We start from the raw sequence: 24,326 nt of genomic DNA, 5'->3' as shown, positions 1-24,326 counted from the left end.
ACATCTATCATCCCCAACAAGCACAGAGCCTAGAATTTAAAACAAAAACAAAAACAGACCCTATAATTGAAATTAGGGCTCTGTTGGAAGGAACATGAAGGAAAACTGACACTGTTGATTGTAGAGGGTATACATGAGAAATCTGAGCAAAACAAAAAAGGATTTCAAAGGCTAGGAGACACTATTAGCCTGTGTACTCTTAGAACAGACTCTTACCTTTTACCTTCCATAAAATGAGTTTTATCCTTCTACAAATTGAGGTATAGATTTTTAAAAATAGTCTCATTTATAGTACTATATTATCTTAAGGATTTGAAGTATAAAAAGTAAAGGCATGCTTATTTGAAAAAGGCAAAACTTCTAAAAAGTAAAAAGCAAATACTTTAAAAACAAAAAGACAAAAATTTGAGAGTGAAAAAGAAAAAGGTTGAAAGAAAATGATGGAATGGGAAGACAGGGAAAGGAAATATGAATAAGTGAAGGACCAAGAGAAAAATTATGAAATGAATGGGACAGAACACAAATTTATTGATATAATTCAACACAACTTCCTGCAATAAGCGACTTGAATGTGCTTAATGGAAAAGTAAACAGGGTCTCAGAGAAAATTGACCAAGAATGATCGACATGAAGACAGATCTTAATAAATATACTGCAATTCAACTCTATTTAAAGACTCCTGGGAGCATTGTCTGAGTTCATAATCGTAACCTCTATGTTCTTTCTGTTTGGCATTTTGCCATTCTTTTATAGTCAACCTTCCTAAAATTTTAAACATTTTAGTTATTTTCTTAGAAACAAAATGAACAATAGATGGAATTAGATTTTGTTTTGTGAGATTGTCTACAAGTCTTTTTCTTCAATTTATACAAGCAATAAGTCTGTTATTTTATGTTGTGTTTTTGTTTTGACCACTTCCGTAAATATTTCACTGTATAGACTCTTTGCTATGTTTTATCATCCAGGCAATAAGATCAAGTCATGTATAAAGCATAAGCAGACTGATCGTTGGTTTCTCCACAGCAACATTCAATGCTAGAAAACAGGCTGGGCACGGTGGCTCATGCCTGTAATCCCAGCACTTTGGGAGGCCAAGGTGGGTGGATCACCTGAGGTCAGGAGTTCAAGACCAGCCTGGCCAACATGGCGAAACCCTGTCTCCACTAAAAATATAAAAATTAGCCAGGTGTGGTGGCGGGCATCTGTAATCCCAGCTACTTGGGAGGCTGAGGCAGGAGAATCACTTGAACCCGGGAGACAGAGGTTGCAGTGAGTGGAGATTGTGCCATTGCACTCCAGCCTGGGCTACAGAGTGAACTCTGTCTCAAAAAACAAACAAACAAAGAACAGCAGTGACTCCAAAATCCTCCCAGAAAGAAAGTTTGATTTGCAGATTTTATATCCAGCCAATCTTTTATTCAGTTATAGAGGCAACTTACCATTTGAACATCCAAGAACTCAGGGAATATAGTTCCCATGAACTGTTCTTAAGTAATTTACTAGATAAAAGAGTATATTCAACTGCAAGAAGCCTGGAAAACTGATAAAAACATTGGTGGTGAACATTGAATGAATCCATCGAACTGTAGAATCTAGACCTAGGTAAATATGGAAATTAGGGTGACATAAGAGAATGTAAATATTATTTTCCTTGATGATATGAACCATATGTAACTAACAAAAGTTGGAAAGTAACAAGAGAAAGAAGGTGAAAAGTTATATAAGTGCTTACTATAATTGCTACATTAAAGCAGGGATGGGCAAGTTACCGCTCACAGGCTTAATCTAGCCCACCACCTGTTTTTGTATAAATAAAGTTTTATTGGAACACAGCCATGTTCATTTGTTACAGATTGTTTATGGCTGCTTTCATGCTATAACGGCAGTTAAGTTGTCGTGATAAAGATTGAATCACAAAGCCTAAAATATTTACTATTTAATCTTTTACAAAATAAATTTGTTGACCCCCTGGGATAAAGGATGCTATTTAAAACTGACAAATTAAGTAGTAAAAGTGTATGTAACAATTCTAAGGTAAACACTAAAAGAGTGTCAGGTGTAGTGGTTCACATGTGTAATCCCAAAACTTTGGGAGGCTGAGGCAGGCAGACTGCTTGAGCCTAGGAGTTCCAGACCAGCCTGGGCAACATGGCGAAACCCTGTCTCTACAAAAAATACAAAAACTAGTCAGGCGTAGTGGTATGTGCCTCTAGCCCCAGCTTTCCGGAAGCCTGAGGTGGGAGGATCGCTTGGGTCTGGGAGGTGGAAGCTGCAGTGAGCCGTGACTGTGCCACTGTACTCCAACCTGGGTGACATAAGGAGACCCTGTCTGAAAAAAAAACCAAGAAACAAAACAAACAAACAAACAAAAAAAACACTAATAAAAGAGTGATCAGGAGTAGAGAAAGGGAGGAAATAGAATGATTATTGATAGCAGCAACAGGAGGCAGCCAAATGCCTAGGCAGACAAGGGTGGGTCCCCAGTGAAACCCAACCTTCAAGCCAAAAACAGCCTGAGGGCTGAAAGACTGGACTGCTGCTGGTCCAGGATGAAACCCACAACCCAGAGTGAGAACTTCTGTTCTTGTTTGCTCTCCCTTTCCCGATTGATTCTTTCTGAACAATGCCTTTTAACCAATCAAATGTTGCCTTTTCCAATATTACCTATGGCCTGCCCCTCCCCCATTCTGAACCCATAAAAGCCCCGGACTCAGCCACATTGAGGGGACTCTCTCGCCTTCAGGTAGGGAGACCCCCCCCCCCGCCGCCATGTCCCCTCTCCATTGAAAGCTGTTTCATCACTCAATAAAACTCCCCACCTTGCTCACTCTGATTGTCAGCACATCCTCATTCTTCTTGGCACAGGACAAGAACTGGAGAACTCAAGAAGTGCGCAAGTCGGGGCTGGCCCCAGGCAGGCCAAGTGGGAGGGCTATCTCCTGCAGCAGGTAGTGTGGTTAAGCAAGGCCCAGGCAGGGTGTCACTGGCTAGAGGTCCCCGGCTTGCAAAGTGACAAAGATGAAAATCCTGTGTCATTATTTTTACTGATCACAGGAGGGAACTGATAGATCTTACGAATATAGAGTTATAGGGTATCTGATGAAGTCTGAATTATAAAAGTAGCCTCTAGGATAAAAACACACATGTTTTTAATTATGAGAAGAAACATACAACACAAATACAGCAGATTCTATATAATAAAATATTTACAAAGGCAATAAAAACAAAAACATAAAAATGAGACACATTGCTTTTATCAATTAAACAAAAAGACTTTTAGATATATCACAAGACAAAACCCAATTTTATGACATATATAAGAGAGTAACTAAAATTTAAAAATTCAGGAAGACTGACTAAAAAAATGGCTAAATGCCAAATGTTGAAAATAATATCAACATTTTCAAGCAAAAAAATAAGGAGAAATGGGAAAAAGCATTTTAATATTAGGCCATTTTAACGTATATATGTAGGTCTCTGAAAGAGCAAATGAACCAAAATAAATATGGGTATGACAGATGTAAACAATGTAAAAGATATACATAATGGAATTATACTAAACATATTGTTCTCCAATCTGCTTTTCCAATTAATATGTATTAAAGATATTTCCATATTATTAACTATAGCTCTATCTTAAAATGAATTGCCTTTTAAGAAACTGCAATAGGCTGGGAGCAGTGGCTCATGCCTGTAATTCCAGCACTTTGGGAGGCCAAGGCAGGTGGATCACCTGAGGTCAGGAGTTCCAGAACAGCCTGGCCAACATGGTGAAACCCTGTCTCTACTGAAAATACTAAAATTAGCCAGGTATGGTGGCAGGCGCCTGTAATCCCAGCTACTCGGGAGGCTGAGGCAGGAGAATCGCTTGAACCTGGGAGGCGGAGGTTGCAGTGGGCCGAGACTACACCACTTCACTCCAGCCTGGGCAACAGAGCAAGACTCTGCCTCAAAAAAAAAAAACAAAAAAACCCAAAACAAAAAAAACCCCACAAAACCTGCAATAAAGTAATAAAGTAGAGTTGACCCTTGAACAACATGGGTTTGAACTGCAAGAGTCCACTTATACTTGGGTTTTTCTAAACCAAATGTGGATGGAAAATACAGTATTCTTGGGTAGTGAAACCCACCTATCCAGAGGGCCAATTTTTCTTATATGTGAATTCTGCTGGGCCAGGCTGCAAGACTCAGATTTTGGTATACATGGGGTTCATGGAACCATCCTCTGCATACCAAGGGATGACTATATATTTTTTGAAAGTTTACAAATGAGATTTACAAAGAGTTGTGGAAACTAAATAAATTTGAAACTTCACATTCCTCTTGGCAAATCATTGCTTACTTGGATTTTGTTTTTTAAAATCATGTTAAGCTTTTTGGGGGGGTTTATATTTTGTGGTACTAACGGAGGCAATTGTGTCATCTCAGCAAGGCATAATGCCTCATCTTATTTGCAGGGTAAAGTGGGATTGAGGCGAACCATGAGCCATGGGGTAGGAGGACAGATCTGACCCTTGGGATAGCTGGAGTGGGAGCAGAATGCCCAGTTGAATGCTGTGTGGCAGCAGGAGAGTAGAGAAGGTGATGAGGATCAGGTAACGAGGCAAGCAAAAAAGATGCCAAGTGATGGTGATGTAGACAATGATGAAAATGGCATTAGCTATCATTCTGAGAATTTATTACAAGCCAAATATTGGATGAGGCACGTGACCACAGAACTCAATATAATACATACAAATCTGAATAGATTTTCACAAACCCTGTGCATGTGTTGCTTATGTAAATTAAAGAATTCAAGTCTATTTCCCAAAAGTGATATTCCTAGGCACTGTTTTTCAGCCTTTCAGAAACTATGGTGTATTTAACTGTGTACAAGACAGATAAGGCTTAAAAAGTGAAATATTTTATGATGATCATGTGATTTTTTTTTTTTTTTTTTTTTCTGAAAACGTTAGGATTCCTAGATTGGTTTCCCTAGGAATTGCCCTCTGAGACAGACATTTGCACTCAGGTACTTTTTGAGGAGCAACAGCTATGAGCCTTGAGGCACCCAAGGCTGGGCAGGAAGAGGAAGTGAACTATGATGCAGTAGTAACAGAGGTCTCAGCCAATCTGCAGGGAGCTTTGCAGCTGGGATGACCCTTTAAACATGTCCTGAACTGAATCAAAGGGGCCATGCCTTCATACCTTTGCAGCCAACAATCATTATATGTGAACTCCAGTGGGGAAAGAACATAACCTTTGGCCTAGCACAAATCCTGGGTAGGGGACCCCCTTGGCCAACACAATTCCTATAAGCCATCAGCAGCTGACATTCCTGGAAGATGATGGAATGAGTGTCTTGGTCCTGACAGGGACATCTGAATGGTCTACCACATCATCCACTAGAGTCTATCTTTTGGTTTTTTGGATCCGTTTGCTCTGCATAGTAAGTCTGCTCCATCTGGGAAAGTTCATCCAGGAACCTGTTTAATCTCTTTTTTTGGGGAAAATTATGATAAGAGGGTTAAAAGGACAAACAACATGCCCTGAAGCTGTGGCTGGTCTCACACCTGCAGAGGTGCTCATTGTCTCCTTTTTCTACCACCCATTGTAGATGCCCCTCAGCCTTGGTCTGCTCCTTTCCTCATCTAGGTGGCTTATCTGGTGAGGTGACCCAGACTCTCACTCTTGAGAGCTCCAAACTCCAGGTCACCATGCCCTCTTCAGGCTGTGGCTGTTGCACTTGCCCATTTATTATTAAAATTGGAAAAGAAGGTACCAAGAGCCACCCAGTGGATCACTTGCATGTCAAACACATTCTTCTCTGTCCTCACTGTGTGAAAGTAGCCTATCTCTTCATGGTAAGAGTCGACTACCCTTGTGAGAATTACACCTCCTTTCCTTCCTGGTCATCTCTTAACATAAGGAGGCTAGCGTGACAGGCTATTTGTAGTTTAAAGTTCGACTCTTGCTGTCACCTTTGGTGGAGATGTTGCCCTCCTGGGAACTGGGACCTCTAGGTATACAGAGCCTAGAGTTGGAGGATGGAAAACACGAATTCTCTAAGTAGGTCACTGGAGATGATTATAATTGGGGCTCCTTCCTCCCTTTCATTTCCATAACCATGTATTCTATCTTTTGCAAACACAGCACCATATAATGGCTATGGATTTAGGGCACATGCTGAGTCCTGGAGAATGCCACTCCAGTTGCCCAGGGAGCATCTCCAAGCTTGTACATCTTTTGCACTTTAAAAAGGTCATTCCATTGTCATACCAGGCAGGCAGCTTCTGCATGGTTCAGAATGTACCAGTGGATCCCATGGTTATGTGCTCATTGTTGCACTTCCTTTAACATAAGCTATAAAATCAGTTCCTAGGTCACATGCAATATTACGTGGAATTCCAAATTAGTGGATCAAATACTCTGGAATCCCTCAGATAGTGGTGGTGGCTAAGGAAGTCCTGTTGATGGGAAAGACAAACCCTTACCTAGAATATGTGTCAATTCCAGGTAAGATGAATTGTTGTTCCTTCCTGGGTGGAATGGGCTTGATGTAATCAACTTGCCACCAAATGGTTGATGGATGTATTTGAGGAATTGTGTCATAGCAGGGATCCAGAGTGATTTCTGTTGCTAGAAGCTTGGATATTTGGCAATGCCAGTGGTTAGATAACCTTTAATGAGATGTAACCCATGAAAATGGGTTCATGCATAGCCTTCATCCCTGTCACCATTGCTACTTCATTTATGAGTCCATTGTGCCAGCCTTTGGGTGGTTGGTGATAGAGGCTAGCTAACGTCACCTGGTCAAATGATTCTGTCTACTTGTTTTTTATTATCTCATCTGTGGTAGGTGAGTTGGTGTTAACATGTGATACAAAGATTTTCACACTTTGTGTCCACTACCATAGGTCTTCCACATGTCTTTTTGCCTTGTCCCGTATCTTCTAGTCTTTGTCGTTCCAGAGCCCTTACCAACCAGCCAAGCCATTCTGCACTGCCCATGAGTGTTTATATATTCTTACCTTGAGCCATTTCATTTCTCTTTCCAAACAAAGTGATGACCAGGTGTACTGCTCAAAGCTCTGCCATTGGCAAGTTCTCTCCTCACCACTGTCTTTCAGGACCACACCTGGATAGGGCTATTGTGAAGGCCTGAAACATTTTCAGATTATACCCATGTGCCAAGCAGACTCATCTGTGAATCAAGCTTGGCCCTTTCCTTCTTCTGACAGCTGCTCATAAAGAATCCTTCTTTACCCCACTCTGCTCTGCCCCATTTCCTGTGCACATAAGTGAGAGCTGAGGAGAGGCACTCGTGTAAAAGCAGTGGATGACTGGGGAATTGGGGCCACCTGCACATGCAGCATACTTGTGTCCTCTGTCCTTATGGACCACTTCCATCTTGAGATGGATGGTTGCTGGGCCTGACCTCATGGCTTATTGGGTCCAATGGTACCAAGCTCCTGATGCATAGCTTTGGTTTCAGGGTCACTTTGGGTTCCATAGGCAGGTGCTTCATCTCCTCCAGGGCCCGGTGGCATGCCAGGAACACTTATTTTTTTATTTTATTTTATTTTTAGAGAAAGGGTTTTACTCTGTCACCAAGCCGAAGTGCAGTGGGGCCATCATAGCTCACTGTGACCTCACACTCTTGGGCTCAAGGGATCCTCCTTCTTCAGCCTCCCAAGAAGCTGGGACTACAGGTATGCACCACCGCACCTGGCTAATTTTAATTTTTTTGTAGAATGAAGCCTCACTATGTTGCCCAACAGAAACAGTTTTTCAAGTACTGTATAGTTCTTTGCTAAAGATAGTCTGGACATTCTCTAGAACTTTAGAGGGTCTACACTGATATTCCCACTGGAATTTGACATAATTTCCACATGGTGTCTTTCTCCATCAGAGGTATCCCTAGTAGCAGAGGTTCTGCTCGACATGGGCCTGGACCTGCTGTGGAGCTCTTTCCTCTTCTGGGTTCTTAATCGAAGCTTGTAGCCCTTTGTGCCACGCAGTAAATGGGTCAGAACTGTATTTCCATGTGTAGAATATGCTGCCTCCAGAACCTGAAGAGGAGGACCAAGTGTTATGCATCCTCCTTAATAGGAGGTAAAACATGCAGTAATTTGTCCTTAACTTTGGAGGGGAGATTCCAGTATGTTTCAGACTACTAGACCCTGCAAACTTCACTGACATGGCAAGTCTCCAAATCTTTGTAGGTTTTTCTATCTCCCACCCTCTAGAGTGCCTGTTTTACCAAGGCCTGCAATGTACTTCTCCCTTCTTGCTAAGCTGATATGACTGATATGATGTCATAGATATAGTGAACCAATGTGATACCCTTCAGGCTATATTATGACAAAGGGCAGGAGAATTAACATTGCTATCGAGCAAATGTATATTGTTGCTCCATAAATATATGGCAAACATATATACTTGTTGATTCCATATGAATAGGACTGCTTCTGATTATTCTTCCTGATAGGGTAGCAGAATAATTCACCCCCCGCCAAATATGTCCACATGTTAATCCCAGAGATCTGTTAATATGTTACCTTACATGGCAAGAGACTTTGCAGATACGATTAAGGACCTTGAGACAGAGGAATTATCTAGGTGGTCCCTATATATTTACACAGGTCCTTAAAAATTGGAGAACGTTTCCCAGCTGGGGTTAGAGGGAGGTGTGACTATGGAGGAATGATCAGAGAAATGCAATGTTACTGGCTTTCTATGAGCCAAAGAATGCGGGTGGTCTCTAGAAGCTGGAAAAAGAAAGTAGATTTTCCTCTAGGGCCTCTGGAAAGGAATGCAACCCTGCTGACCCTTTGATTTTCACCCAAGGAGACCCACGTCAGACTTTTAACCCACAGAGCTGTCAGATAGTAAATTTGTGCTATTTCAAGCTACTAAATTTGTGGCAATTTTTTACAGCAGCAGTAGAAAATTAATGCAGATGGAAAAGAACACACCCACCAGTCAGGAGCTGTGCAGTAGATACCTGAGGCCGTGTTCATGTGCCCTGGCCACTGTGCCACATAGGCCCAGCAACTGCAAGTGAGCAACTACCTGGTTGAGTTTTTGGTAGTCCAAATGTCATCCTCAGGGTCCATCTGTTTTCTCCAGGAGTCAGACTGGTGAATTCAGTGGGGATGTGAAGGAGACTTACCACCCCTGCATTCTTTAGGTCTTTAAGGGTAGCACTCTGCCATTTCTCTCAGGATACAACATAGTTTTTGATTTACTGTCTGGTCTGAGTAGAAGGAATATTTTCAGAGGCCTCTACTTGCCTTTCTTCATTGTGGTAGCTCTTACCCCATTGATGAAGAAATCAATAAGGGGGTCCTGTCAACTACCAAGTGTGTTCATTTCGATTCTACCTTCAGGGACCAGGGATTAACCAGAGGGTACATAGGCCCAGTGGATGGACTGTGAGACAGACCTGGGCCAGGCCTCTATCAATGACCTGGCACTCAGTCTAACAATCTCTGTGTGGGCAGCTGGGGTGGTGGATGGTATCCCTGGGTCAATTTGGACCCTGTGTCCAACAGTCCTTGAAGTGATGAGGTATAGTCCTTATTTCTGTGTATGGTTACCCAAGCAAATGGGTGTAAGTGCTTTGGGGGGGAAGAAATGAGGTAATCATTACCATATATACTTGCCAAGGCATTGCAGGGTCTTCATTCTTGGACCTTGGCATCATTTTTAGTAAATGGGTTCCAGGTCTGAAAACTGGCTCAGCTCCAGAAGAGATCATGGCTTTTTAATTGAGTTGGCCACCCTCAGCCTCCTGATGGTCCATCCTCAATATCTTTTGGTGGTAGAGACTGAGCAGTACTTCTTTAAGCTGCCTTCCTATCCTGCCTATGGGGATGCCAAGCACTGTTACCCACCTCCACAGCCATCTGTGGGTCAGGCCCTCTCAGATATCATCAGATGAGTTAGGGCTGAGATTTCAACCTTCTCTGGAACTCCTGAACTCCTATCAATGAGTCCCAGGTCTGAGCCTCAGCTCTTTCTGCCTTCCAACGTCAGGGGAGCAAAGTCTTCACAATTTGTCAAGGAGGACTTCTGGCTTTCTTATTTTGCCTTAAATTAGTGATTAACCAATATCTCCCAGAAATGGCCATAATTCTTATAATTCTCAAAATGACTACTTCCCATGAACTTCTCAAATGCCTGAAAGAGTCTACCCACCCATGAGTTCCCTTCTATCTGTATTCCATTCCAGCTTATGAACAGCGACATTAAAAAACAGCAACGAGGCTGGGCGTGGTGGCTTATGCCTGTAATCCCAGCGTTTTGGGAGGCCAAGCCAGGAGGATCTCTTGAGCCCAGGAGTTTGAAACCAGCCTCGGCAACATAGCGAGACCCTATCTCTACAAAGAATAAAAAATTAGCTGGGCATGGTGGTGCATACCTGTAGTCCCAGCTGCTCGGGAGGGAGGATTGTTTAAGCCTAGGAGGTTGAGGCTGCAATGAGCTGTGATCGTACCACTCTACTCTAGCCTGGGTGACAGAGTGACACCCTGTCTCAAAACAAACAAATAAAAAAATCAATGACAATTGCATTGCTACCATATGCCAGGGCCTTTCAGCCCACCCCCCACCATCATCGATGGGCTTCTCATTGCCAGCCAGCCAGAGGGTTATCCAGCTCTAAATCCTATTTTAGAGTCAGTCACCTTGAACCACTCCTGACATCTGCTGTTGTGGTTGGGTTCCCCAGGAAATAGACTCTCAGATGGAGATTTGTGTGCACGCAATTTACTAGGGAATGGTCTCAGGAAAGATATCTGTTAGGGTCTGAGCAAAGCAGGATGGCAGAAAGAGAAGGTGAACAGTGGTGCAATTGAAAGAGGCCTCAGCCTATCACGTGGGGAGCTCTGGAGCTGGAAAAGCCCTTCACAGATGTTCCAAATTAAGGCCCAGGGCTCAGGCCTCTGTCCCTTTGCATCAATCACCCATTGCATACCTGCTGCCTCCCTGGAGGCCCTGTAGCTTTGGGTGAGGCAGTTCCCTTTGACTGAGTGCATCGGCAGATAACACCCCCAGAAGCTGGGGCAGTGAGCCTTGTTCCTGAAGTGGGGGTCTAGGCAGAGCCCCACAGCATTCAGTACATTACAGGTTGGAATTTAAAGCTATTAATTTGCAGAGTTTCCAATTTGTGCACAGATCTTTGAAAATAAGGAGAAAAAATAATCCCATAGCAAATAATGCTATTTCTATTCCTCTAGCGTTACCAAAAGCACGATAAACAAATCTTGGCTGACTAGTTTCAATAACTGAAAAAATGCTGAGAGAGAACAAGAGATAGAGCTAAAGACAGATAGAGGTAGAGGTAGAGACAGAGCTAGAGATAGATAGAGGTAGAGGTAGAGATAGAGCTAGAGATAGATAGAGGTAGAGGTAGAGATAGAGATAGAGATGATAGAACTTCAGAAAGCAAAGCAAGGAAAGGCCGAATTTGGCTTGGAGCCTGTATCACGGATGTTCTTCTACTTCTTAGTGGTTAAAGAACCTTGCTAGACTGACTCCAGGAAGGAAAACCTTACATTCAGAGGCATCTCACAGCTAGTCATTTCTCCTTGCAAGATTCCCAGCCTATCTCCCTTCCTTCCTGAGGATGTACAGACCTGCACATTTAGCTTAGAATCATTCGAATCTTTGGAATGCTGTGGTTTCAACTAACCTAGGCTATTTTTAGAGTTACTGATGCAGGGCAGGTTCTTGGCTTTGCCCAGGAAGGAATTCAAGAGCGAACAGGTGGAGGAAGAAAACAGCTTTACTGAGGCAGTGGCAGTGTGACAGCTTCCGTGGAGCAGGGCTGCCCCATAAACAGCATGCAGAGAGTAGCAGCCTAGGGGCAGTTTTGCAATCATATTTATACCCACTTTTAATGACATGCTACTTAATGGGCAAGTTATGCAGAAATGGCTAGAAAATGGGCGGTAACTACTGGATGTTGCTATGGTAATGGTAAGTTGTCATGGCTTTGGTGGGCGTGTCTCATGGAGAGGTGCTTTCTGCACCTCTTCCTGGTTTGGCCAGTCTTATAAATCTGGTTGGGAGTCAAGCCCAACCTGCCTCCTACCTCATTACCAGTTAGCTGGAGACCTCATTCTTCGGGAGGATTTCAGCTTGCAGGGCTCTCCTGCCTTCCTTTGCCTTCCTGTCCACAATACTCTTTAAACCTGGGCCATCTATAGCTGCCCTAAAACAGGAGGGCAGAGAAAACATCCCCTGCCTTCACCTGAAGATGCCAGTCAAACTTTTTCAGATTTGGCAACTCATGTCCCTGTCTTTCTGCCTTCTGCCCTCTCCTCTCTCAGGAGAATTTAACATTCCACCTTTCCAGCCCCACCTGCCTGTTGCAATTCCCTACCACACTCCTTGCTCTCCTTTAGGCAATGAAAGAAAAGAGCTTTTGGGGGTGATGGCCTGTGTCCCTAATGCTCACTATCACTGTGGCTAAAATCCACTTGGTCGTTACCTCTTCTACCCAGTGCTGTGGGGCCCTGAGCAGGTAAGGCTGACTGAGGAGGCCCAAACCATGAGAATGCTTTCCTCCTCTTTCCACCTCTTTTCTTGCATCAGTTCAGTGATGCAAAAAATGCTTTCCTTGAGAGCGTGAGACACTCAGGCTCAGCGCCTCATCTAACCTGAAGCCAGCAGCAAGTCTGACAATTTGTCTGAACACCTCCCCTTGCCAGTTTTCCAGTGCACATGTCCAAGCCGAGGTGCGGCAGGTGCACTGCCATATGCCTCAGGAAATGAATCAAGACAGCGCTTTGGACGAGGCACTCTGACGGTGGTACTCACTCAGAGGGAGTGCTACTGCCCCCAGGGAAGCATTTTGAGAGTTTTGGCGAGGCAGTGATTTTACTTTCACAATGATTGGAAGTGTTGCTGGCATTTAATAGGTGGGTTCAGGGATGCTGGTCATCCTGCTATGCAGAGCACCGTCCTGTGCCTTTTTTTTTTTTTTTTTTTTTTTGGAGGCAGGGTCTCACTCTGTCACCCAGGCTGGAGTGCAGTGGCACAGTCTCAGCTCACTGCAGCCTCCACTGTCTGGGTTCAAGTGATTCTTGTGCCTCAGCCTCCCGAATAGCTGGGATTACAGGCATGTATCACCACACCCAACTAATTTTTTAATTTTTAGTAGAGATGGGGTTTCACCATGTTGGCCAGGCTGGTCTTGAACTCCTGACCTTAAGTGATCCGCCTGCCTCAGCCTCCCAAAGTGCTGGGATTACAGGCGTGAGCCACCATGCCTGACCCCATCCTGTGCTTTTTAATGTTCCACCACAAATTCATGTGGGTACAAAACCATTTGTAAGTGCCCGAACCTAGAGGTGAACTCCATTTTACATATAAACACAAATACTTTTATACATGGTGGTAAAATACACTAGTTTTCTAAGAATGCAAGTACTTTGTAAACCAATGGACTGTTTTATCTTCCAGTGAAAGTATCTCGACTTTTTGCTTATTTGATTTAGGTGCAATTTGAGAACTACAAACTTTTGCTTTTCATTTAAATTTTTCCTCCCTCAGCACAGATCCATGGGGAATAAGTCTGTGTAGTGGAAATACTTAATATACAACACATGTTGAATAATGTCTTGAATATATTTTATAAAGTGATATTTATGAAAGAGCAGTGATTAATTAATAGACCACATTTCTCAAAATGTTTTTTGCTTACAATTGCATTTCTCAAGCACGAAAGCTACGGATTTATCCTGCATTCTCTAGAAAATGCTTAAATGTTGTGTTTCTGTTACAATGGCAATCTAAAAGAAATTAAGCATGCTGGTTCTGATTACCCAGAGGATCATCTTCTGATGATTGCTGGCATGCAGTCTAGTGCCTGTGTTTGCAGTTGTTTACAATCATCTTGAAAACAGTAGCAGTAGTTGAATTGTTGTTGGCCAATGATAAAGTAACAGAAGGGAACTTAACCTTCAGCTATCTGGAAAATTAACTTATCTGAAATACCCATTTCTTTTAAAAGCACATAGATGAGACAGGCTTTACTTTAGTTCTTAGTCTAATTTGTTGTTGTGTTCTGACATGGAAGAAGAAAAATGGTGGATGTTACTTGGGTACCATTGGTTTAAACTTTGCCCACCTTGGATTAATCCTATTCCAGAATAACTGGGAACAGCACTTTAGTGAAGCTCAAGGGCAAATAATTTCTTGTGGAATTTTGCTCAGACACATATTTCATATACTTTCCTTTCCCTTTTTATGGTTTTGAAAGCAAAGTTCTCTCAATAAAACCAGTACTACCCTGTGCTGTGAGATCCTGGCAAACACATTTTCCTGACCCTCAAGCTCTAGCTCTAACATAATCTAAAACTCAGTTGCTCTAAAGGCATTCCATTAATACATTAGTGCTCTTTAAGAGAACTGTGATGCTACCTCTTTGTGTGAGCACGGATGCTTCAAACCAAGACACGCTTTTGCCTGCCAACTATTTTCCAAATATTGCCATGGAATTTAAGGCCCTATAAGACTGGGCCCTGTATTATTTGGGGTCAGACAGTAAATATTTGTGATTCTGGAGTTTGTTCCAGAATCCCAATTACCATTACTTAAATAAGATAAAAGCTTCTTCCTTTCCCATGTGTCTACAGGTAAGTGTCCGGGTGTGGGTGGGCAGCTTTGTCACCCTCTGCCTGTGGATGCCATATCTGGGTCCCAGGCAGCTGCGCTAGTTGTCACCATTTCCATCCCGGAGAAAGGGGAAAGAGGGAAGTCCTGGGGCAGTGCTTTCATAGCACATCACTTCAGCTCCAGGACCAGCACTCAGACCTAGTCATGTGGCCACACATTGCTGCAAGAGAGGCTGGGAATGGTAGCCTTCTGCTGGGCAGTCGCATGTCAAGATAAAATGAGGGATTTTCTCACTAAAAGGAAGAGGGACAAATGAATACTAGAGAACAATTAGCAGTCTCTGCTTTTAGCCATGTCTCCTTTTACTTTTCCTACATTCCAGCTGCACAAAGTATGTTACCCGACATGTGCTTTGTTTCCGAGCTTTCGTGCTCACCCGCCTTTGCCTGGGACATATTTTTTCTCTCCTCCATTTGTTGAAATACTCCTCATCCTTCAAGGCACAGGTAACAGACCATTTTCTCCATGATGTCTTTCCAAATTATCAGTCATCCCTCTCTCTCTCTCTCTGCCCCTCTTCTGGTTCCGTTGACATTGGATAAATCGATGGTATATGCCTACAGTACACCTTATAAAATGTTGTTGACTTGTAAATATGATGAATTTTGTTCTTCTTCTGTGACTATGTCTTATTCATGGTTATGTTTTATTCTTCATGATAGCTTGGACGTTTCTTGGAGCGTGACTCAAATTTTTGATACTTTGAGTTTGAATCCCAGCTCTGCCACTTAGAAGCTGAGTGACTTTGGCCAAGTCACTTAGCTTGCTAAAATTTGCTAAACTTAATTTTTTCTCTTTCCTCTGGTTAAAAAATAGGTGAATAAAATTACCTGCCTGAGGATTAAATACAATACTTCATGTGAAGGCCTTAGCATAGTGCCTGGCATGTAGTATGTGCTCAATAAATAGGAACTGGTATTACTGTTTTTTTCTTGCTGTCACTTTCTAGTGTTAAAAGACTCTCTTATATTCTGTGTGTTGGGAGTCATTAAATAAATCATTGTCCTGAAATGAGATATTTATGGTACATTTGCTATATTATTTGCTATCTTATGTATTATATTAGTCTATAATACATAAGATTTGCACAGCTCTTGGCCAAGTCATTTGGTCTCACTCCACATTATTATGTAGGTGTTACTGCTCTCGTGAAATCATATGGGACAAAGTGTAAGGGGACCCTGGGTTGCCTGAGATGCTGTAGGTTGTCTCAGGAACATCTGCCTGGAGCACAGCTCTTTGGAACCCATGCCCAGTGCTCTTTCCACCTTTTACCCTGATGTCTGGTATTTTACACTGCCAAGGTTATGTTATTTTTGTGAAACATAAGGGAATTTTTCTGCAGGATTAGGAATGAAACATTACAGCAGTTGAAAAGGAGTAGGCTGTTTTACTTTCTTTAAAATACGGTTTCCCGAAGGAGACAAGTGGGGATGGCAGCAGGGCAGGCAGAACCCTCACAAGCATCTGGATGTCTGCCTCCCCCAGTCACAGAGACCTTGCCCTCCCTCTGCCAGCTACTTAGGCTGCTGGGCCTACCGGAGTGCGACGTCTTCTAGCACGTACAGGTGTCCCGTGTGTGGATGACAGTTCCTGTGACAGCAGGTCTTAAAGGTGGACCATCAAGATCAGCAACATGAAAAACCAGGCACAGAAGTTGAAGCCCACAATTTCTGGGAATTAAAAACTCGGTTTAACAAAACAACACAAAGATAAGTAAAGTCTATAAATTGGGCTTTACACATCCAAGTGAAACTGATTTCAAAGCCAGAGGCCCTCTGTATCCTGAAAGCTCCACAGAGGAGGTGTAAGTTCAGAAGCTGCACTTGTTGGATTGAAGGGAGAGGACATCAGTCGGCTGCGAGCTGCACCTGCCACTGGTGCTCCCAAGAGCCAGGTACCCATGAGCCTCAGATGAGAAGAAAGCATTTTTCTCTTACCTGCTCACAGCCCCTTCTGCATGTAGTAGGCAGAGGGCCAAGGTGCAGTGACCAGCTGGGGTGGCCACCCCTGCTCTTGGCAGGACTGTCATGTGGGAAACCATGCTGAGGCTCCCACTGCACAGACCCCTGGGAGTGACCTGCACAAACCAGAATCACAAACAAGCATCTGGTCTTAGTACAACCTGCAGGAAGGTAGAGCTTCATCCCAGAAGAAAAGCCATCCGTGGTCCATAAACAACTGGTGCATCTCGGCCTTAAGTCATCATTAGTGCTCCCAGCCAGCGGGCATCTCAGGACAGAAGCAGCCCATTATTTTGCCTCATTAGACTATTGGCCCAAGTCACCCAAAATGAAACACATCTGGGAATATAGTTATTGAGGAATGTGGAGATTTGATGAAGAATACAAGAAACTTTATTGCGGGATATAAAATAAGATTTGAATAAAGGGAGACATGTCATGAATGGAGAGACTCAAAATTCATCTCAACGCGCTCAAGAAAGAGTTGAGATAAAATCAGAGAACTTGGCTACTGATCATTGCAGGTGGGAAAATCAGGGCACCTTTGGACGCTTGGGACCCAGCATCCCTCGGGGGAGGCCAGTCCCCCAGGTCTGTTTTGTGACCCTTGGCTGCACATTCTCCCAGATAGGAGCTACAAACCAGGGCCCTGCGTCAGACCCTTGGGGATGGGGGAGGTCTAGAAAAACCCACGGAGGAAGAATAATGGTACCAGAGGGAACTTTAACTCCTAGAATCAGGGACCGGGAAAACCTGAAGTTCAGGAAAGCTGCTAATGAAGTGAGATGGAAGCCACGTGCCTTGCCAGGAGCTTACTAACGTAATGTGGCACCCGCCAGCCTATTCTGCAGACATAATGGAAGAGAGTGTTTCCACTGCTCATTCCACAGGCAAGCCACAGATCCTGGCCACTCCTTGCCTTGGAGGCAGTACAGACACATTCATAGGGTTTGGCTCCTTTCCCTTGAGTTCTGCACCTTAAACTAAAGAAGTCAGTCACGCGAGGCTGGCTTGCTGGAACCGGCTAGAAAATGCAGCCCTGCCTGCCGCAGGGATCTCCTCCGGTATGGCCACACATATGAGTTCTGGCAATGCCCATTAGTGATATGGCCGATAGTTTCTTCTGTCTTGCTTCCAGGAACCTTTTCTTGGTTTGAAGCCACCGAACCAGAAGAGAGAATTTTTACCACTTTGAGGACTTCTTGTGACGAATCCAATGGGAATTCCATAATATTCAGAAACAAAACATTTTGAGGGCCAACAAATTATTAAGCCCTTTGCTAGGTCTTAGAGATACAAAGATAAAGAAGACTGGAGTTTTCTTTTTATTATCTACCAGACTGAAGGCCACTGCCTGGGGACTTGATCTAAGAGAAGAAATATCAGGAGACCTGGGTTTGGCTCCTGGCTCTGCCAGGTGATCATGGAGCAGTCACGTATTATCCCTGAGCTTCCGTTTCCTCATCTACTTAATTAGTGATGGGTCTACAGGGCCTTGCTGGGGTCCACTTCTGACATTCTGTGTTGGTGAGTATGGAAAAATTGTGAGTAACTGAAAGACTTTTGTTTCTGTATTCTCAGAAAAGCGTGGACACCTGATTTTTTTCCTTTTATTCTTTTTGTTTTTCTTTTTTGAGACTATCGTAAAACTGCAGCCATTTATTATTTATTTATTTATTTATTTATTTATTTATTTATTTATTTTTTGAGATGGAGTCTTGCTCTGTCACCCAGGCTGGAGTGCCACGGTGTGGTCTCAGCTCAGTGCAACCTCCATCTCCCGGGTTCAAGCGATTCTCCTGCTTCAGCATCCTGAGTAGCTGGGGCTGGAGGCACTCACCACCACACCCCACTAATTTTTGTATTTTTAGTAGAGATGGGGTTTCGCCATGTTGGCCAGGCTGGTCTCGAACTCCTGACTTCAGGTGATCCGCCCACCTGGGCCTCCCAAAGTGCTGGGATTACAGGCGTGAGCCACTGTGCCTTGCCTGTTCTTTTATTTTTATTTGCTATTATTATGTAATAGCTGATATATGCAAAATAATGTGAGTATCACACAGTTAAGGGATGAGGCATAGTAATAACAGGAAGAACACCTGTGAGTCGTCCTTAAACTAGAACATGATCAATATCATTGCTGTAGCTGGTGGGCTCCTTTCCTATGCCATCCCCTGCAAGTCCCTAGAAGTAACCAGCTTTCCGAATTTTATTTCTATAAAGCCCTGGTTAAAATAATAATTTAGCACATATGTAGATAACCTTAAGAAACATATTATTTGATTGTGTCCACTTTATCAGAATGGTATTATGCTACATGCAGTCTTCTTTTCATTTGCTTTTTTTCCACTCAGTATTTTGTTTCTAAGATTCATCCATGTTGCATGTAGTTCATTATTTTCACTACTGTCTCTAGCATTTTATTGTGTGAGTAGTTATAAATAATTGTTTATTCTTTCTCTGAACACTTTGGACACTTGGGTTGTTTCTGGTTGTTATTTTGATATTGCTGTGAACATTCCCATACGTAAATCACATGCAAGAATTTCTCTAGGGTTATACTTAGAAGTACAACCACATGAATTTGTGCACGTGTGCGAGGGTTTCTCTAGGGTAGGATTGCTAGGCTATAAGGTATATGAATATATTTAACTTATTTTTTCTGAGGGGTTATACCAATTTAGACTCCTGCCAAGAGTGAATAAAGATTCCAGTTGAATCATACTCTTTCCAAGTTCTTTTTCTTTTTTTTTTTGTTTTTTTTGAGACAGGGTGTGGCTCTATCGCCCAGGCTGGAGCACAGTGGCATGATCTCAGCTCACTGCAACCTCTGTGCGGGCATTTGTTCTGCAGACCCTCACCCAACAACGGATGAGTAATGTACACTGACACAGATACTCTGCCTGTCAGTCCAGCTAAGGGTCTGGGCCCCTCACAGACACCAAGGAAGGTTCTGTAAAGAGTAGCAGCCATGGCTCCATTCAGTCAGCGAAGCTCACATTTATTCAGTATAGATTAGATGACAAAGGTCTTGAGTAAAAACCACTAGAGGGTAATTGACATTGCTGACCTCCTGAGTAGAGAGCAATCATGCATCTGTGGTTGACCAAATGTTGGTCTTAGGACCACATGAATAAACAAGCTATTTAGATAAACTACTCTACATTCCTATGTATCCATGCCCTGAGCTTTTAAGAGAATTCTGCCTTCAGCCAAACACTTTATGCAGACCTCCAGGCCTTCCAAGAGGGTTTGCGTTTATTTCCCATAATTTTACAATTTCTCCCACCATCCTGACTGAACCCCCACACCTCTGCATCCCAGGTTCAAGCCATCCTCCCACCTCAGTCTCCCAAGTAGCTGGGACTACAGGTGTGCACCACCACACCCAACTAGTTTTTTGTATTTTTTGTAGAAATGTGGTTTCGTCATATTGCCCAGGCTGGTGTCGAATTCATGAGCTCAAAGCGATCTACTTGCCTTGACCTCACAAAGTGCTGAGATTACAGGCCTGAGCCACTGCGCCCAGCCCAAGTTTTTGACAATATCAGCCTTATTAATTTGTGCCAATCCAGTGGGTAAAAAGTAAAGTCCCACTGGTATCTTAGTGTCTCTGCGATTACTAATGAGGTTGTGTATTCTTTTATATATTTATGGGCTATTCATATTTTCTGCTCTGTGAACTGTGTATTTATTAACTTATTTATTGAACTTTGAAAAGATTTTAAAAAATACATCATCTTTATGTAGATTATATTGGTTATATATATTGCAAATATCTTCTCCTACATTGTTGCTTTTCTGATCACTTTCTTCATGGGGTCTACTGTTAAACAGAAGTTCTTAATTTGAATGTAGCCAAATTTATTATTTTTCTTTCATAGTTTTGTGTTTTCTTTAAGAAACCTTCACCTCTCTGATGTTCTAAAGATATTCTCCCATGTTGCCTTCAAAAGTTTTAGAGTTTTGCCTTGTGTATTTAAATCTTAAATCTGCTAGCATTTGATTCTTCTGCATGGTGCAAAGCAGGGATTAGTCACAGTATTTTCCCCCCCATGTAGGTAACCAGTGGCCTTGCACTATTTATTGAAGAGTTCATTGTTTCCTTGTCATCCGCAGTGCCTTCTCTTCCATCCTCAAGTACCCACCCTTCTCTCTTTCTCTCTGTCTCTGTTTCTCTAGTCTGTTCCATTGGGCAATTTGTCTATTTCTGTGCCAGTACAGCACTGTCTTTGTTATTTTAGCTTTGGAATAAGTCTTGATATTCCTTTTCAGGAGTGCTTTATTTACTCTTAGGTCTTTGTTCCTCCATATAATTTGAGAACTAGGCCGGGTGCAGTGGCTCACACCTGTAATCCCAGCACTTTGGGAGGCTCTGGTGGGAGAACTGGTTGAGCCCAGGAGCTCGAGACCAGCCTGGGCAATGTGGCAAGATAGACATAGACACGTCGTTATAAGACCATGTGTAAATATAACAAACATGAAACACTGGGGGAAGTTAGGGAAAGTATTAGATAAGGTAACATGTATGAAGATCCTCAATGAACAAAGATTCTGTATTCTGGCTTCAGATGTAAAAACCCTGTCTGTCCCATTTTGTCAAACCCCTTAGGGCCGAAAGTAACTACCAAGGGTACCCTCATTGAAACCCAAGGGGGGTTCAGTGATTCCACAGTTGGATCAGTTTGCCCTGGACCTATAAATCTAAACCAGCGTGCCCATCTATTTTTCTTTTGTATTCAAACATGGACATCAGCTCACAGCATCTCTTCTAGTATTCTGTTCACCTACATCCAGAATGTTTTGTAGATCTGTGTTGTCTTTCTCTGATAGACCTAATTAGAATCTCCTCAGTTTTTCATGAAGCCAATTCTACCAATTTTGCAAGCTCAATTTTCAATAGCTTTGCCTTCATGGTTTTATTCAATTCTGTACCAAATGTTTTGGGTCATACTTCAATAATGAATGAGTGCCTGTTATGGTGCTAGACACTTCATGGTGTGTGTTTTGGTGCTAGACGCTTTTAGAGAATACAGAGTCAAGGCATTTTGAGTTAGGTTGGCCTGGGTTCAAGTCTTGACTCTGCCGTATAAGCTGGGTGACTTTGGGTCAACCATTTAGTATTTTTTAAATAATTTTTATTTTTATTTCAATAGTTGGGGTACAGTTTTTGGTTACATGGATAAGTTCTTTAGTGGTGATTTCTGAGATTTTGATGCACCTGTCACCCAAGGAGTGTACGCTGTACTCAATATGTAGTCTTTTATCCCTCACGCCCCTACCACCCTTCCCCCAGAATCCCCAAAGTCCATTATATTGTTCTTATGCCTTTGCATCCTCATAGTGTAACTCCCACTTATGAGAATATATTATATTTGGTTTTCCATTCCTGAGTTACTTCACTTAGAATAATGACCTCCAGCTCCTTCCAAGTTGCTGCAAAAGGCATTATTTTGTTCCTTTTTATGGCTGAGTAGTATTCCATGTTGTATATATACCACATTTTCTTTAACCACTTGTTGATTGATGGGCACTTAGGTTGGTTCCATATCTTTGCAATTGTGAATTGTGCTGCCATAAACACATATGTGCATGTGTCTTTTTCATATAATGACTTCTTTTCCTTTGGGTAGATACCCAGTAGTGGGATTGCTAGATCGAATGGTACTTCTACTTTTAGTTCTTTAAGGAATCTCCATACTGTTTTCCGTAGTGGTTGTGGTAATTTACATTGCCACTAGCAGTGTAAAAGTGTTCCCTTTACACCACATTCATGCCAACATCTGTTGTTTTTCGACTTCTTAATTATGGACATTCTTGCAGGAGTAAGGTGATGTTGAACATTTTTTTTTCATATGTTTGTTGGCTGTTCATGTATATTTTTTGAGAATTGCCTATTCATGTTCTTTGCCCACTTTTTGATGGGATTATTTGTTTTTTTCTTGCTGATTTGTTTGAGTTCCTTATAGATTCCGGATATTTGTCCTTCACTGGATGCATAGTTTGCGACTATTTTCTCCCAGTCTATGGGTTGTCTGTTTAGTCTTTTGATTATGTGCTTCTTCATGTGTAACATGGGATGATAATTCTGGGTTGTAGGTGACATTACATAAGGGGTCTTGCACACATACTCTTTTAATCAAAGGAAAAACAAAAAATGTTAGTTCCAGAAATTAGAACAGAGGAAGACATCTTGCTTCTGAGATGATTATTTTTTTCTTAGAGGAGCATATGAAGTAGTGGAAGCTCAGACATTCACAGAGAACATGTGCTGGGAAAAAAACACATGCCAACGTAGTCCAAAGACTCGCATGTTCACTCTATTCTTATTCAGAAAGGACTTAAGATATCACTTAAAAATAAATCAAGACAACAAAGCGGATGAAAAAGCAAAGCAAAATCAAGGATGGGACATACGGTGAAGGGGGAAGGGGAAAGTGTGCAAATGCCCCCAGGGAGGCTGCTCCCTACACTTGCTTTATGGGGCCTCACATTCGATGCTGAGCTTTCCAGTGGCCACCACCAACAGTCATAGAGACAACTATGGATACCTGCAGTGAATGCCAAATACAGGAGAATAATCAGTGGAGGGAGGCTGGGGAGGGAAGCCTCCTTGAAAATGATGAGATTCGAGCCAGGTTTTGAAGGGTGTAAGAGCTATGTATTCCAGACAGAGGGAGCCACCCAAGCAAAATACGCAGAAGGAGAGTCAAGAGGTGGTCCTGGCATACAGGGATCCTTTGGGATAGTCTGGAGGAAGAGAAGATGACTGAGGCCTCTAATGCCAGACTTTACGCTTTCCTCAAAAGGAGCTGGTGAGTCACAGGAGAAAATGACCTGATGGGAGTGGTATTTGGAGGAAATTATCCTGGCACCACACAGCTATAATTTTCCCCTTTGCAAGTTAAAATTCATCACGGACATTTAGCAAAACGCTGTCACGCATGTCTCTCCTAATGTGGTCCACATCTGGCTCTGCCACTGGCAAATAGAGTATTTAGAAAATCTGTGCAGCATTAGTACCTAATAACCCTTTTTTAAACATAGTGAAGGAAATCGCAAACTTAGGAATGGCACATATCCTTCCAGATTAATTTAGTCCAGGTTCCCTATGTGACTTAAGAAATCCCTAGTTGCAGCTGCATCTAGTAGTCTGGACAACGGCGTGAGTGTTGAAATCCAGGGAGGTTGAGATTAATCTTAGAAATAAGAGTAAACTTAGTGATGCTCACTTTCAGTTTGCTTTCCTTGGATGTATAAAGTTTTGAGAGTTTAAAATGGCTTTAGACTTAAAAGCATTCTGCCTAAAATAATTACAGCACAACCAGCAGGGGTTTCTTTTCTAAAAGAAAGTTTTATTTGTGTAGGACGTGGACATCATGATCAGTTCAAATATTTGTATTTCAAAATTTAGGCTTGAATTTTGGCTGCATTGAGTCTTCCTTTGATGTATTTTGAGGGGCTAAAGAGCTCCTTCAGTTCCTAGAAAAACGAGGTTTGATCATTCCTCAGGGTCAGAAGCTGGCAGAAGGTAGGGACACCAAGTACTGAAGGGGCTAAGCATGTGGGGGCAGGAAAATATTTAAGGGAACATGCACTTTCTCAGCTCAAGACGCATCTCTCTTTTATAAGACTGTACATAATTTCTTCTTGACTTGAGTTAGTTTTAATCCATGTACGGTCTGTTCTCTGGAACAG

At 42.5% G+C, this 24,326-nt stretch overlaps 1 long non-coding RNA gene across 1 annotated transcript in view; it reads left to right on the top strand.

The window, feature by feature from the left end:
- Positions 1–17,625: 17,625 nt before the first annotated feature.
- The window catches only part of LOC102723739 (uncharacterized), a 55,283-nt gene continuing 48,582 nt past the window's right edge, over positions 17,626–24,326 (top strand). The window contains exon 1 of the long non-coding RNA XR_007086289.1: positions 17,626–18,158. This is a non-coding gene — a long non-coding RNA (uncharacterized LOC102723739). The remainder of the gene's footprint in view (positions 18,159–24,326) is intronic.

Source organism: Homo sapiens, chromosome 2 (genome assembly GCF_000001405.40).
Source record: "Homo sapiens chromosome 2, GRCh38.p14 Primary Assembly".
Classification (NCBI taxonomy): Eukaryota; Metazoa; Chordata; class Mammalia; order Primates; family Hominidae; genus Homo; species Homo sapiens.
The sequence above is the reverse complement of the archived record's forward strand: the minus strand, read 5'-3'. Positions and strand labels throughout refer to the sequence as shown.